The sequence below is a fragment of the Homo sapiens genome, chromosome 14 (assembly GCF_000001405.40).
Source record: "Homo sapiens chromosome 14, GRCh38.p14 Primary Assembly".
NCBI lineage: Eukaryota > Metazoa > Chordata > Mammalia > Primates > Hominidae > Homo > Homo sapiens.
In genome coordinates, this window is record NC_000014.9 from 57607095 (window position 1) to 57622880 (window position 15786).

General features: G+C 41.6%; 1 protein-coding gene across 19 annotated transcripts in view; it reads right to left on the bottom strand.

Moving 5' to 3' along the window:
• Positions 1-15786, bottom strand: part of SLC35F4 (solute carrier family 35 member F4) — a 419262-nt gene that overhangs the window by 43175 nt on the left and 360301 nt on the right. For 4 of the 19 annotated variants that reach the window (XR_002957548.2, XR_007064010.1, XM_011536721.4 and 1 more), the window contains exon 1: positions 5369-6562. The exons of 14 other annotated variants lie outside the window; for them this stretch is intronic. The gene's annotated coding sequence lies outside the window, so the exon portion shown is untranslated. Of the gene's footprint in view, positions 1-5368; positions 6563-15786 lie in introns of those variants that run through there. One more of the 19 variants, XR_943418.4, reaches the window with a different exon arrangement.

Here is a 15786-nt window from a genome sequence, read left to right on the forward strand (position 1 = left end):
CTTTTCTCTGGAAGGCAATTCACTGCACAGCCCCTTGCCAGTACTAATGGTCCACAAGTATCTTCTCTTTGGGGAAGTGGGCTTTTAAACTGTAATCCTATGGCTCAGTTCACAAAATATTTATGCCTTGTTCATTAGCAGAAAGAAATAAATGGGCAGACGAGCATGCCAGGGTACAGCTAATGCTATTAGCATATACATATTTGTCACCCAGGGGAGGAGTACCAGTCAGGAACTGGCAGAGACAGCTGCTTAGGAAGCTCTGCTGTGATTTAAGCCACAATCTAAATGAAACTATTCGCAAGTTTCTGCCTCTGGGGACATAAGCTAAACAACCAGCATCAGTTTGTTTTCACAATTGTTATGGGTATCCACAACTGCCAGGTAGATGGGCTGAAACAGTCTTTGGACCTAAACCCACAATGATGAGTCCCAGCTCCACACTCATAGAAGCCTCTTCCTCACTTACCTAAATCCTGCTGTCCCTTCAAAGTCCAGTTCAAAGCCTAACACCAATCTCGGCCAATGCCCACTTCCAAGACACTCACTGCCATTTGAAAGGATTTAAGTAGGGAAGTGGAATCATCGGATTTGAGTTTTTAGAAGATCACTGTGTAACGTGGAGAACGGACTGAGAGGAAGTAAAACTTGAGGTAGAATGACTTGTTAAGAGAAAACTGGATGTCTAGGGGACAGATTAAAGTGGCCTTGAAGAGGTGGCAGCAGTGAGGTTGAAGAGAGGTAGACTGAACAGTATCGCAGAGATGGAATGGATATAAATTGGTAAATAATTGAACATGGGTGTAGAAATAAGGGTGAAAGAGGGGTCAAGAATAAGCATCAGTTTCTGTCGTGGACAACTGAATTGATAAAACACCATTTACAGAGCTAGAAGGAGGACCTGGTTTGTGGGAAGGGTAATGAATGCAGTCTTAGACGTGGTGAGTTTAAGTGCATGAAACTCATCCAAGGAGAGATGGTCAGTGGGCAGTTGGACACACAGATCTAGAGTTCAGAAGACAGATTTGGGCTGGAAACAGATTTGAGAGTCATCAGTGTATGGAAAAGTCACTGAAGCTATGGGAGGGGTTATATGTTGAATTGCGTCCCACTCTCCCTCCCCTCCGTCAAATTCACATATTGAAGTTCTAACCCTCAGTACCTGAGCATGTGACCTTATTTAGAGATAACACCTTTACAGAGGTGATCAAATTAAAATGAGGTCATTAAGGTAGCCCTTAATTCCATATGACCAGTGTCCTTCTAAAAAGGGAAAACTTGGGCACACACACTCATGGGGAGAACACCATGTAAAGATGAAGCCAGAGAAAGAATGGATGCTTTTATCAGCCAAGGAATGCCAAAGATTGCCAAAAAATCACTAGAAGCTATGGGGGAGGTGGTGGAACAGACTGCCTCCCACAGGCCTCAGAAGAAAGCAACCCTGTGGATACCTTGACCTTGGACTTCCAGCCTTCAGAACTGTGAGACAATACATTTCTGTTGTTTCAGCCACCATGTTTGTGGAACTTTGTTACAGCAGCCCTAGCAAACTCATACAGGAGGGGATGAGATCACCCAGAAGGAAAATGTTGACTGAGAACTGCAGATAACAAGGGCTGAGACTCAAGAAACCCAGTAATTAAAAGGATATGAACCTGTTAAAAAAAGAAAAGCAGCCCAAAAGATGGCCGGGGGGGGGCGGCGGGGGGAGAGAAACAGGAAATTATAACAATACAGAAATCAAAGGAACAGAATGGGAGAAGGTGGCCATGGTACAAATGTGACTTAGTGACAAGACAGTCATTGTTGACTTTGGAAAGAGCACTGTTGGTGGAGTAGCAGGGGCAAAAGCCAGACTGGCCTTTATTGAGAAACAAGTGGGAGATGAGAAAGCGCATGCAGGAAGTATAGACAGGACACAAATGCAAAGATCAGGGAAACACTTTTCTATGCAGAGATTTTGAAAACACAGAAATTGTGTTAATTTAAGGAGTCGATAAACCATCCCAAATCTGTTATGCGGGAGGTAGGGACAGACATGTATGCAGATGGATGCATGGATGGATCGATGGATGGATGGATGGGAGAAAAGATGGCATATGGCAGATTCAGATAATTCAGCGTAGTTTTATTAGAAAAAAATGATCTTTTATTCACAGTGCAAAAGATTTATAAAAATCAGGCATGTTTTTGTAATTTAATAGAAGAAAATGTGAAGCTCTCATTAAGCTCCTGGAAATCTTGCTACCCTGAGTTCAGGGAAACTGGTTTGGCATGTTTATCACCTCTCTGCTTCCATGATTGTTGCAAATGTTTAATCACAATCCTCACCATAAGGATCATTTCTTAGCCAGAGATAAGGAAAAAATGATATTAAAGTATTTGTTCTGTTCCTTTGGTAAGCAAAAGAGTGTAAGTCACCTCCCAGGAGTACCATATTCACCCATGTGAGGCGAATTATGGGAGCTATGCAAGTATTAGAATGCTTAATGTGCTGTTGCTGACAGTTGAGCATAGAATATTTAAAATGTTTCTTGTAGAGGCAGCTCTTGCAGTTTGTTATGCATGCTCTCCTCTCGAAATCCTAAATTTATCTGATGGAGTGAAAGATAATCCTTCTGATGTTCACACTGTCCGGAAGATGGCTTAAATTTACTACACAGGCTTTGGAATAAGGTAAAAATGCTGCTGGCATTACCTTCTAAACATTCCTTGAATCCATCTCCTTTTGCCATCCTTGCCCCTCCGCTTCCCCACATTAGGCCCTTGCTGGCTATTTCGTGGATGACTGGCTGCCATGTGTTCCTAGCCTCCAGGAAACTGGCTGCCACATGCTCCCAGCCTCCAGGACTATAGAAAGGAGCTGCTATGTGAGGATAGAAGTTATCCAGTATCAGAGAAAAACTCTAGGGAAACTTTGACCCACACATCTATAGTCCAGAGGATAATTTTCCTTGTCACTATTTGTTTTGGCTAGAGGAGTTTTGGCAACTCTTATTCATTCATTCATAAGGATTTATTGAGGAGTCTCTATGTTCCAGACATTGAACTAGACCTTATGGACTACAAAGAGGGTGAAGACTAAGTTTCTGCCTCAGTTCACGCTATATTAGGGAAAAGAGACTGAAAAACAGGTAAATTATAACCCAATATGAAATGTGCTAATATAATGACAAATCCTGGGATTAATAAAAGTGAGAATCTGTAGGACCCTGAGCCTGGAGGGTGTGAGAAACTGGAAGAGCCCAGAAGTAAGAACAACACTTATAGGGCAACCACTTCTTGGGAAACTGGTCAAGACCAGCAGGAAAACAGCCTGCTGACTGCGCGGGGTCTGTGAAGGCAACTGTACCATCTGGACTCAATAATGGTGAAGCTGAGCCTTAATGAGGTTCAATTTGGGCTGTAAGACAAACTTCGGTTTTTCAACTTTAAAAACTCTATAACCACAGAATCTAACCCTTCGGTTTCTCTCAGCTCAGGATTCACTTTGTCTCACAATTTTATTTTTCCTTATTAATATACCAATGAAATGTTGTAGGAGCATGGAAGACCATGCTTTATGTGCTTGTGTCTCCAACATCAATGCCTGGCACAGAAAACCTGGGGTGGAAGATCCTCCTGTAGAGAAGAAAGGGAGTGAGTCTGGTGATGATCTCACTCATGCATCTGACAAATATTTACTGAATGTATTTACTGAGTATCTCCTATGTGCCAGGAACTGTGATAGGTACCATGCAGACCCGAATTGATAAAACAGACATGGTTTCAGTCCTTGGAAGCTTAAAGTAAGTGAACAAACACATAAACATATGGATAGAGCATGTGTAAGCAAATACATCAGCCAATAATGACAACTTCTAAGTTCTGTGAAGAACGCAAGAGTGGGTAGTGATTGGGAATAGCAGAGTGGTGTCTAGTTACATAAGGTTGTGCAGGGATGCTTCTCTGAGGAGATTATGGGCAAACTGGGACTTAAAGGCTGAGGCATAAACAGAGGAAAGGGAGATTCAGGAAGCAGGAACTGCACATGCAAAGACCCTGTGGTGGGGAGAGTTTGGTGTGTTATAGGAACTAAATGCAGGTTGGTGTAGTGTAGATAGAGTGCAGTAGATAAAGGAGAGAAGGAAATAAAGTTTAAAAGGAGACAGAAGCCAGATCTGTTTTGAGGGGGGATATCAAGGTACAAATCCCTGCTAGGCAGCTAGATAAATCTAACAAGGGTATGGGTGAAGAAGACAGGATTGGTCATATGAAGTTGGGTGTATTCCCATGTAAGAGACAATGGAAGGCAGGGTAAGAAATAAACTCTCTAAAGCTGTGAGTATAGAGAAGATGCCCAGCAGGTCCAGGATGAACACCCCGGGGAACAGTCCTGGGAAATGCTGTTATCAAGGGATGGAAGAAGTTGAGGCCAGCAAACGATATGGTACAGTTGTCAAAGGCAAAAGCAGAGTCATAGAGCTGAGAGAATCTAAGAGAAGAGTTAAAAAAAAAAAAACAAAAAAAAGAGTTACCATTTAATCACTTCTACGACTGCCAACAAGACAAGGAGATTGAAAGTGAAAGAAATGCCCATTGGCTATGGCAATAAGGACCTCCCAGGTGATTAATGAAAGTAGTTTCAGTAGAGAAGAGGTGAAGGAGGTGGAAGGAAGAGGAATGGAGGCAGGGGTTTGAGAAACTGAAAGGTAGATAACATCAAAGTCGAGTGAAGTTAGTCAAGATACATGGGAGAGTTCCAGCTAGATGAAGTAACCTGGCCTCCCTCCCACTGTAAACAAAATAAAACTGGACAAAGCATATGAGGCAACTGAGCTCAGATGTTGGTCACTGTGCAGTGCAACAGTGCAGTCCCTAAGATCTTACAAGGTCAGCCTCATAATCTCCAGCTTTTCCTTGAGACAATATCTCAAGTGACACAGTGACAATGTCCTCACTGTGGTGCAGAAAGCTGGAGTCTGAGTTACTACCACTGAGTAGAGGAGGCAGAGACCAAAGTTTGAGGCCAGATGCAGTGGTTCACACCTATAACCCCAGCAACTTTGGAGACTGAGGCAGGAAGATCACTTGAGCCCAGAAGTTGGAGGCTGCAGTAAGCTATGATTGTGCCACTGCCCTCCAGCCTGGACAACAGAGTGAGATCCCGTCTCTAAAAAAAAAAGTTTGGGGAAGGAGCTGGCATTAGTGGGGCAGTCAGAGAGGAGGGAGCTGTAACTTCCCAGGCTATTACAAGCAAGTCTCAAGTCTCATGCCTGCCTTTTTCTCTAGCCTGGTTGATGACCGCTTCTCCCCACCCAGCAGTTGGGCCAACATTCTATGAATTCATATTCAAGCTTCAAGTCTCAGTTCAAGTGTCACTTACCTATAGCGGCATTCCTTGACCATTTTCCCTCTTCTGTGCACACTGCACTTAACCTAACCACACCATATTCTACTGTAATTTCTGGTTTATTTATTTTTCTTCCTGGCTGTCAGCTTCTTAATAGTCAGGGCTCTGTCTTAGCTATTTCTGTATCTCCAGTATTGGCACTTAGTGGCTTTTCATAAGCATTTGTTGAGCTCACTGACCCTTGGGGAGAAATTAAAGATAACATCTAATTATGCTCTACTGTGTTCAGTAACTTTAATGTGCATATGTCTTATCATCTCCAACTACGCATGCTCAAGAAATATTTAAGTGACTAAATGAATAAATGAACAAGAGTAGCAATACCATAATTAAGGACAAGGACCAATTTTGAATCTCTTATGCCTCCATGAAAGAATGTTGGGCACACACTAAATATTCAACAAATACTTGAGAAATTGGGTAATTAGCAGGAAAGTCAATAAACTCCAGATGCATCAAGAGCTGCCTCACATTTGCATCTTTGAGACGTGAGCATGGGATAGAGACGTACTGATGGTAACTTTTAGATCTTTCATGAGCACTGCATGCCATTAACTCTAAGGAGCTATCATATTTAAGATCTGGGCAGCAGGAGCTGGGTTGTTTTGGAGTCCCTGCTTCTCTGTCTTATGGGAGAGTTGAGAACAACTGCTTACTATCTTGGGAAGCTGTCTGAGTTTCCTCCTTCTGGATGGAGACCATTAATAAACATGCTGAGTTGGTCTGATTAGCAGGTGCATGGAACAGATTTAGCTCTCAAGGCTTTTAAGCAAATCTTACTAGAGCATTTATATAATTTATTGTGTGTCTGACTCCATCAGGGGTTTAGATCAAAGTGAAATATCTGAAATTTGTTATTGATAAAGGAGAAGTCTTACTGATGGCAAAAGGAGAGCCTGTCATACACTCCCCTGAGGAGATGGCGGTCTGTGCTCCTATGTCCCCTGTCCTCCCCCAACAATGGGTCACTCAGTCAAAAACGTCAGTCACCCTATCCTCCTGGAGTCCCAGTTGTTCCAACGATAGGCTTTTCAGTTTCTTAGTAACTTGGGATAGCATTCTCTAAGAGGTATTTCTAAGGCAGCAATAGTCCGAGCAAACATTTTTCTACCTGAGATTCAGCACAAATTTCTATTTTTCCCAGAAGCTTCTGATACATAGCTTCCAAAGACTTTTGAAAATACAGCTTGACTTCCTGCATAGTCTCATTAGAGCATAATTATTGCACCACAGCACAGCTGAAAGAGCCCAGACTTGGGAGTCAGGTGACCTGGAAGAGAAAGACAGCTCTGTCTCCCACTAGGATTGTGCTCTTGAGCAAGTTATCTTTCCTCTCCAAGCCTCAGTTTCTTTATTGGCAAGGAGGAAAGTAACATCTACCTAGTAAAGTTGTTGTAAGGAGTAGATGATGTAATGTATGTTTGTGTTATTATGTATTTTATTTGCAGAACATTATAACCCCTGGACTGGTGCCTTTTCACCTAGAAGGCTCTCAAAAAATATTTACTGACTGAATTTTACTTAAACTCAGGGCATATACCATAGGCAGTTTCTGACTTATAAACTGGAGTTTTTCCAGATCTAAATGCATTTCCCCACATAAACAAGTTATAAACTGTGGTTTGGCTGCAGATTGGTGCTAACATCCCATTATTGCTAAAATACTGTACATTTGCAGTGGGGAAACACATAAAATAAAATCAGTCATTAAGTAAAACAAGAAAATATTGAATAAAAATGGTTTCATATTTATTTTGAGAGTTAGTGATTGAGGAAAAGCAGATTTCATTTAAGGAGGAAGAAAAAGTTGTTGGTAATTACTGGAGGGGATCTTCAGGGAAATTTCTGTGTATTTCCAAAAACTCTCAGTGTTGGTGCCCTGGATATTTATTCTGTTTAATTTCCCTTAAATCCTAGAACAGACTTCTTCAGTACAGGTAACCCATTAGCATCAATCTTTCGTTATCAACAATGACAAATATTTCTTTAAGCTGATACATGGTGAGGTTTCATGAGTAAAGTTGTTATTTCCCAAAGAATAAGAAACAGACAAAAAGGATGAACAAATGACAGAATTTTTAATAACTAAGAACAAGTTGAAAAAGAATTGGAAGTAAAAAGACTTAAAAGGAGGTGTGTGTGCATGTGACCATTCTCCCTCAGGCAACTGTTTTTAATGAAGGGCCCAGCTGTCACAGTAGAGGGAAATGGCAGATGAGCTCTAGATCTCTCTCTGATGGGGCAACAGGGAGTGGTGGGTATGGGATTTCAAACTAGACAGCTCCCCATAATGACTTCTGGGTGGTAGATCAGCCATGAAGATAGCTTGGTTCCTGCTCTAAACAAGTGCATATGAGGGGTTTGTAAGACAACATGTAGGGAGAAAGCTGTGTGACCTTGGGATGTCACTTAAACTTTTTAGATTTAAGTGTTCTCGTCCATAAAATAAGAGGGTGGGACCAGAAATTCTATGAAAATTTCACTGAAGCTTTTGAGATTTGAGTGTTCTCATCCATCAAATAAGAAAGTAGGACAAGAAATTCTATGAAAATTTCAGTCTAAACTTTTAAAATTTTATGAGGACCTTGTGACTTAATACCAGGTAGGGCTGTCTTTCCAGCTAAGTACAAGTTAAAATCCTAAACTTTGTGAAACCAATATGATTCTTCACTCTCACCTCCTTTAAAATGTGTCTTTCCTAAGCATCGCCATGACAATTGAGAACATTTCACTAAGAAAGGGTTTCTCAGAATTATTCCTAGGCACAGGGCAAGACATTTCCAGGAAATATCAATGCATTTGGAACCTTCCCTGGAGCAAAAGATCTAAGTGAGAATCCCTGAAAGAACAAGAAACAAACATTTTCCTTTTTTTTTTTTTAACTGCTCACTTCATTTCTTCATTGTTAACTGCTGCTTTAAGGAGTGTATTTTCCAAGAGAAATTTCAATAGGTTATGTGATCAATTAAACTTATGTACTGGCTTTTGCCAAAGGACATAGTTTTAAAAATCCATGGCACACAATGTAAAATTGATCATCTTTACAAAACAATATTGAGGTTTTTAGAACTTCAGTTCTGCATATAGATGGGATAGAGGGTTAGATTTGGAGCTTTTCTGACATTTTCTTTGAAAAAAAATACTGCTCATAATCTTCATTGTCAACTACTGCTTTAAGGAGTGTATTTTTAAGAGAAATTTCAGTAGGTTATGTGATAAATTAAACTTATGTACTGGCTTTTACCAAAGGATATAGTTTTTAAAATCCATGGCACCCAATGTGAAATTGATCCTCTTTACAAAACAATATTATGAGGCTTTTAGAACCTCAGCTGTGCATATAGATGGGATAGAGGGTTAGATCTGGAGCTTTGCCTGAAAAGAACCTTATACCAAATATTAGGATTCCTAGGGCTCAGTAGCTGGTTTAACTACTACTAACTGAGCACCTGACCCTAGATATTTCTTTTGTCATGTGTCTCTTGATTTTCTACATTTAAAATTGGAAAATAACTACCATTTCTTTATATCAAGCTCTTACTGCTATTCTCTTATGTTTTTATAGTGACAAACTGTACATAACTTAAAATTTATCATTTTAACTCTTTTAAGTGTAAAGTCCAGTTGAATTAAGTACATTCATATGGTTGTTCAACCATTACCAACATCCATCTCCAGAACTTTTTCAGCTTCTCAAACTTGAAACTTCATACCTATTCTCTTATTTTAATAGTATTTTTCTTGATCCACTTAGAGAATATCAACCAACAGAATTCTCATAACATATACCATCTTAGCGTGGTAGTAAGGGTATAATTTTCCAGAATTATGAAGGGGAAATTGACCCTTGAGCATTGGCTAGTTTGATGTCAAATGTGCTACAAGGTTTATATATTAAACTGTGATGATTAACTGCCCCCTTGGGTTACAATCAAAGTTGTGAATGTTTGAACTTTGTGATGTACATGCTCCCCTAGTAAAAAGCACAAGAGGATTCTTGCCCCCTCAGTGAAAAACACTGAGAATTCCCCAAAGAGACTGACAAAGTTAAATATCTCCTGAAGACCAGCCTTCTAGGGAAGTGTATGAATTGGGTGGGCTGGTTGGGTCTTCCCAGCGCATTTGAGATTTTCTCCAGGCTCCACTTCTTTACTGTCTACTGTCTCCATCACTGCCTGTTTACTTTGAATTCCACTCTTTTTCTGTCTATTCCCTTTACTTGTTGCTTTGGAGCATCCTTGCTTCCCTGCCTCTCCTTGTCCATATAGTTTGAGGGGTCCCTTACCTCTCAACCACAGCCCCACCTTCATCTTAAATAAGGACTAAGTTCCCCTTTGTTCATCCCTTGACACTGTGGGTCAGCCTCCTCCACTCTTCTCCTGGCTATAGCTGACTAAACCTTAGCCCCTCTTCTTCCTCGCCCCATCCCCTTTCTCAAGTCCCCCTTCCTCTCAATCAGAGCCACAGACACTGCATTATACATTATGAAAATGTGGTTTTCTGTTTTGCAAAAACAGCGTGAATGTTAAGTCAGATAACTTGAGCCTTAGCTTTCGGATGATGATTTATAGATTAGACTCTTTCCCATTCATAGGGAAACCCCATATTGGAAATTCGAGCTCAGCTTAACTGTACTTATTCTTTTTTTTTTTTTTTTTTGAGACAGAGTCTCGCTCTGTCGCCCAGGCTGGAGTGCAGCGGTGTGATCTCGGCTCACTGCAACCTCCACCTCCCGGGTTCATGCCATTCTCCTGCCTCAGCCTCCCGAGTAGCTGGGACTACAGGCGCCTGCTACCACATTCGGCTAACTTTTTATATTTTTAGTGGAGACGGGGTTTCACCATGTTAGCCAGGATGGTCTCGATCTCCTGACCTCGTGATCCACCTGCCTCAGCCTCCCAAAGTGCTGGGATTACAAGCATGAGCCACCGCGCCTGGCCTAACTGTAGTTATTCTTAAAAAGAAAAAAAAATGACAGAGCTTCCTAATCAGAGATACCTTTATATACATTATATGCATTTGTTTATTCACTTACCCAATAAACATTTACTCAATACCTTGCATGTGCTAGGCACTATCTTAGGTGCTCATAAAATAGCTGTGAATAATGATGACCCTCACCTCACAGGGTTTAAAGACTTTAGGGAAATACAGACCAGAAAGCTGGCAATTGCAATAGTATGGATAAGCAGTGTGCTAGGAGGGGTAGAGTGGGTCTGTATGAGTCATGGCAGAGGCATTTAACCAGGCTGGGGGCTCAAGCAAGCTTTCCTAGGGAAGTGATATCTAAGCAGGAACCCAGAGGAGGAGTTAGCCAAGCAATTAATAGGGAACCTGGGACTTACTGAATGCCATTTACAGGTCGTGATAGTTTAGTTTTTAGTTTTGTTTTTCAAAAATTCATTGCTTCTGTCATTCAAAGAAAATAAACTCTGACCTGATATGTAGGCAACAGAAGGGACTTTAAAGATGCCATCTAAATCTAGTAGAGTCAGTTTGTTCTTGGGTTAAGTAATGATGGTGTCTTATGATGAGAGTTGTTTTCTTTTTACATTTCAGTAATAAAATCATATCAAGTGGGATCCAAGAGAACGTCTTAAAACTAGCCCTAAGTGTTTCTATCTGACATTTAGGATGTATTATTAGTATATGAGTAAAACCAATTGATCACATGACAAGATTTTAAAATAAAATGTGAAAAGACCTATTATGTATATTTGGCATAAAGAATCCAGTCATCGTGGCAGCTTACTGGCAAGATGGCCAAATAGGAATAGCACTGGTATGCAGCTCCCAGCAAGACTGACGCAGAAGGTGGGTGATTTCAGCATTTCCAACTGAGGTACCTGGTTCATCTCCCTGGGACTGGTTAGACAGTGGGTGCAGCCCACAGAGGGTAAGCAGAAGCAGGGTGGGGTGTTGCCTCACCCAAGAAGCAGAAGGGGTCGGGGGAGTTCCCTCCCCTACCCAAGGGAAGCCGGGAGGAACTGTACTGTGAGGAACGGTGCACTCTGGCCCAGATACTGCGCTTTTCCCATGGTCTTCACAACCCACAGACAAGGAGATTCCCTCCAGTGCCTACACCACCAGGGCCCTGGATTTCAAGTACAAAACTGGGTGGTCACTTGGGCAGACACCAAGTTAGCTGCAGGAGTTTTTTATTCATACCCCAGGGGCACCTGCAATGCCAGCGAGCCAGAACCACTCACTCCCCTGGAAAGGGGGCTTGAAGCCAGGGAGCAAAGTGGTCTGCCTTGGCAGGTCCCACCCGCACAGAACCCAGCAAGCTAAGATCCACTGGCTTGAAATTCTTGCTGCCAGCACAGCAGTCTGAGGTGGACCTGGGATGCTAGAGCTTGGTGGGGTGAGGGGCGTCCACCATTGCTGAGGCTTGAGTAGGTGGTTTTACACTCACAGTGTAAACAAAGATGCTGGGAAGTTCGAACTGGGTGGAGCCCACCGCAGCTCAGCAAGGCTGCTGGGGCCACACTGCCTCTCTAGATTCCTCCTCTCTGGGCAGGGCATCACCGAAAAAAAGGCGGCAGCTCCAGTCAGGGACTTATAGATAAAACCCCCATCTCCCTGGGACAGAGAACCTAGGGAAAGGGGCAACTGTGGGTTCAGCTTCAGCAGACTTAAACGTCCCTACCTAATGGCTCTTAAGAGAGCAGCGGATCTCCCAGCACAGCATTTGAGCTCTGCTAAGGGTCAGACTCCCTCCTCAAGTGAGTCCCTGACCCCATTTATCCTGACTGGAAGACACCTCCAAGTGGGGGCTGACAGACACCTCATACAGGAGTGCTCTGGCTGGCATCTGGCGGGTGCCCCTCTGGGACAAAGTTTCTAGAGAAAGGAACAGGCAGCAATCTTTTCTGTTCTGCAGCCTCCGCTGGTGATACCCAGGCAAAAAAGGTCTGGAGTGGACCTCCAACAAACTCCAGTAGACCTGCAGCAGAGGGGCCTGGCTGTTAGAAGGAAAACTAACAAAAAGAAAGGAATAGCATCAACATCAACAAAAAGGACGTCCACCAGGAGACCCCATGCCAAGGTCACTAACATCAGAGACCAAAGGTAGATAAATCCATGAAGATGGGGAGAAACCAGCACAAAAAGGCTAAAAATTCCAAAAACCAGAATGCCTCTTCTCCAAAGGATCACAACTCCTCACCAGCAAGGGAACAAAACTGAACGTAGAATGAGTTTGACAAATGGACAGAAGTAGGCTTCAGAAGGTGGGTAATAACAAAACTCCTCTGAGCTAAAGGAGCATGTTCTAATGAAATGCAAGGAAGCTAAGAACCCTGAAAAAAGGTTAGGCAAATTGCTAAGTAGAATAACCAGTTCAGAGAAGAACACATATAACCTGATGAAGCTGAAAAACACAGCACGAGAATTTCGTGAAGCATATAAAGTATCAACAGCCGAATCAATCAAGCAGAAGAACAGATATCAGAGACTGAAGATCAACTCAATGAAATAAAGCAAGAAGACAAGATTAGTGAAAAAAGAATGAAAAGAAATGAAAAAAGCCTCCAAGAAATATGGGACTATGTGAAAAGACCAAATGTGTGTTTGATTGGTGTACCTGAAAGTTACGGGGAGAATGGAACCTAGTTGGAAAACACTCTTCAGGATATTTTCCAGGAGAACTTCCCCAACCTAGCAAGACAGGCCAACATTCCAATTCAGGAAATACAGAGAACACCATAAAGATACTCCTTGAGAAGAGCAACCCCAAGACATAATTGTCAGATTCACCAAGGTTGAAATGAAGGAAAAAATGTTAAGGGCAGCCAGAGAGAAAGGTCGGGTTACACACAAAGGGAAGCCCATCAGACTAACAGTGAATCTCTCGGCAGAAACACTACAAGCCAGAAGAGGGTGGGGGCCAATATTCAATATTCTTAAAGAGAAGAATTTTCAACCCAGAATTTCATATCCAGCCAAACTAAGCTTCATAAGCAAAAGAGAAATAAAATCCTTTACAGACAAGCAAATGCTGAGAGATTCTGTCACCACCAGGCCTGCCTTACAAGAGCTCCTGAAGGAAGCACTAAACATGGAAAGGAACAACCGGTACCAGCCACTGGAAAAAAACACCAAATTGTGCCAGTTTTCAAAGGGAATGCTTCCAGTTTTTGCCCATTCAGTATGGTATTGGCTGTGGGTTTGTCATAGATAGCTCTTATTATTTTGAGATACGTCCCATCAATACCTAATTTATTGAGAGTTTTTAGCATGAAGGGTTGTTGAATTTTGTCAAAGGCAAGACAGGGATGCCCTCTCTCACCACTCCTATTCAACATAGTGTTGGAAGTTCTGGCAGGGCAATTAGGCAGGAGAAGGAAATAAAGGGTATTCAATTAGGAAAAGAGGAAGTCAAATTGTCCCTGTTTGCAGATGTACATGATTGTACATCTAGAAAACCCCATCATCTCAGCCCAAAATCTCCTTAAGCTGATAAGCAACTTCAGCAAAGTCTCAGGATACAAAATCAAGGTACAAAAATCACAAGCATTCTTATACACCAATAACAGACAAACAGAGAGCCAAATCATGAGTGAACTCCCATTCACAATTGCTTCAAAGAGAATAAAATACCTAGGAATCCACCTTACAAGGGATGTGAAGGACCTCTTCAAGAAGAACTACAAACCACTGCTCAATGAAACAAAAGAGGATACAAACAAATGGAAGAACATTCCATGCTCATGGGTAGGAAGAATCAATATCGTGAAAATGGCCATACTGCCCAAGGTAATTTACAGATTCAATGCCATCCCCATCAAGCTACCAATGACTTTCTTCACAGAATTGGAAAAAACTACTTTAAAGTTCATATGGAACCAAAAAAGAGCCTGCATCGCCAAGTCAATCCCAAGCCAAAAGAACAAAGCTGGAGGCAACACTCTACCTGACTTCAAACTACACTACAAGGCTACAGTAACCAAAACAGCATGGTACTGGTACCAAAACAGAGATATAGATCAATGGAACAGAACAGAGCCCTCAGAAATAACACTACATATCTACAACTATCTGATCTTTGACAAACCTGAGAAAAACAAGCAATGGGAAAGGATTCCGTATTTAATAAATGGTGCTGGGAAAACTGGCTAGCCATATGTAAAAAGCTGAAACTGGATCCCTTCCTTATACCTTATACAAAAATTAATTCAAGATGGATTAAAGACTTAAACGTTAGACCTAAAACCATAAAAACCGTAGAAGGAAACCTAGGCATTACCATTCAGGACACAGGCATGGGCAAGGACTTCATGTCTAAAACACCAAAAGCAATGGCAACAAAAGACAAAATTGACAAATGGGATCTAATTAAACTAAAGAGTTCCTGCACAGCAAAAGAAACTACCATCAGAGTGAACAGGCAACCCACAAAATGGGAGAAAATTTTTGCAACCTACTCATCTGACAAAGGGCTAATAACTAGAATCTACAATGAACTCAAACAAATTTACAAGAAAAAAACAAACAACCCCATCAAAAAGTGGGCGAACGACATGAACAGACACTTCTCAAAAGAAGACATTTATGCAGCCAAAAAACACATGAAAAAATGCTCGCCATCACTGGCCATCAGAGAAATGCAAATCAAAACCACAATGAGATACCATCTCACACAAGTTAGAATGGCAATCATTAAAAAGTCAGGAAACAACAGGTGCTGGAGAGGATGTGGACAAATAGGAACACTTTTACACTGTTGATGGCACTGTAAACTAGTTCAACCACTGTGGAAGTCAGTGTGGCGATTCCTCAGGGATCTAGAACTAGAAATACCATTTGACCCAGCCATCCCATTACTGGGTATATACCCAAAGGACTATAAATCATGCTGCTATAAAGACACATGCACACGTATGTTTATTGCGGCACTATTCACAATAGCAAAGACTTGGAAACCAACCCAAATGTCCAACAATGATAGACTGGATTAAGAAAATGTGGCACATATACACCATGGAATACTATGCAGCCATAAAAAATTATGAGTTCATGTCCTTTGTAGGGACATGGATGAAATTGGAAATCATCATTCTCAGTAAACTATCGCAAGAACAAAAAACCAAAAACTGCATATTCTCACTCATAGGTGGGAATTGAACAATGAGAACACATGGACACAGGAAGGGGAACATCACACTCTGGGGACTGTTGTGGGGTTGGGGGAGTGGGGAGGGATAGCATTGGGAGATATACCTAATGCTAGATGACGAGTTAGTGGGTGCAGCGCACCAGCATGGCACATGTATACATATGTAACTAATCTGCACATTGTGCACATGTATCCTAAAACTTAAAGTATAATAAAAAAATAAAAAATAAAAATAAAAAAATTAAAAAAACCCCACCAAATTGTAAAGACTATT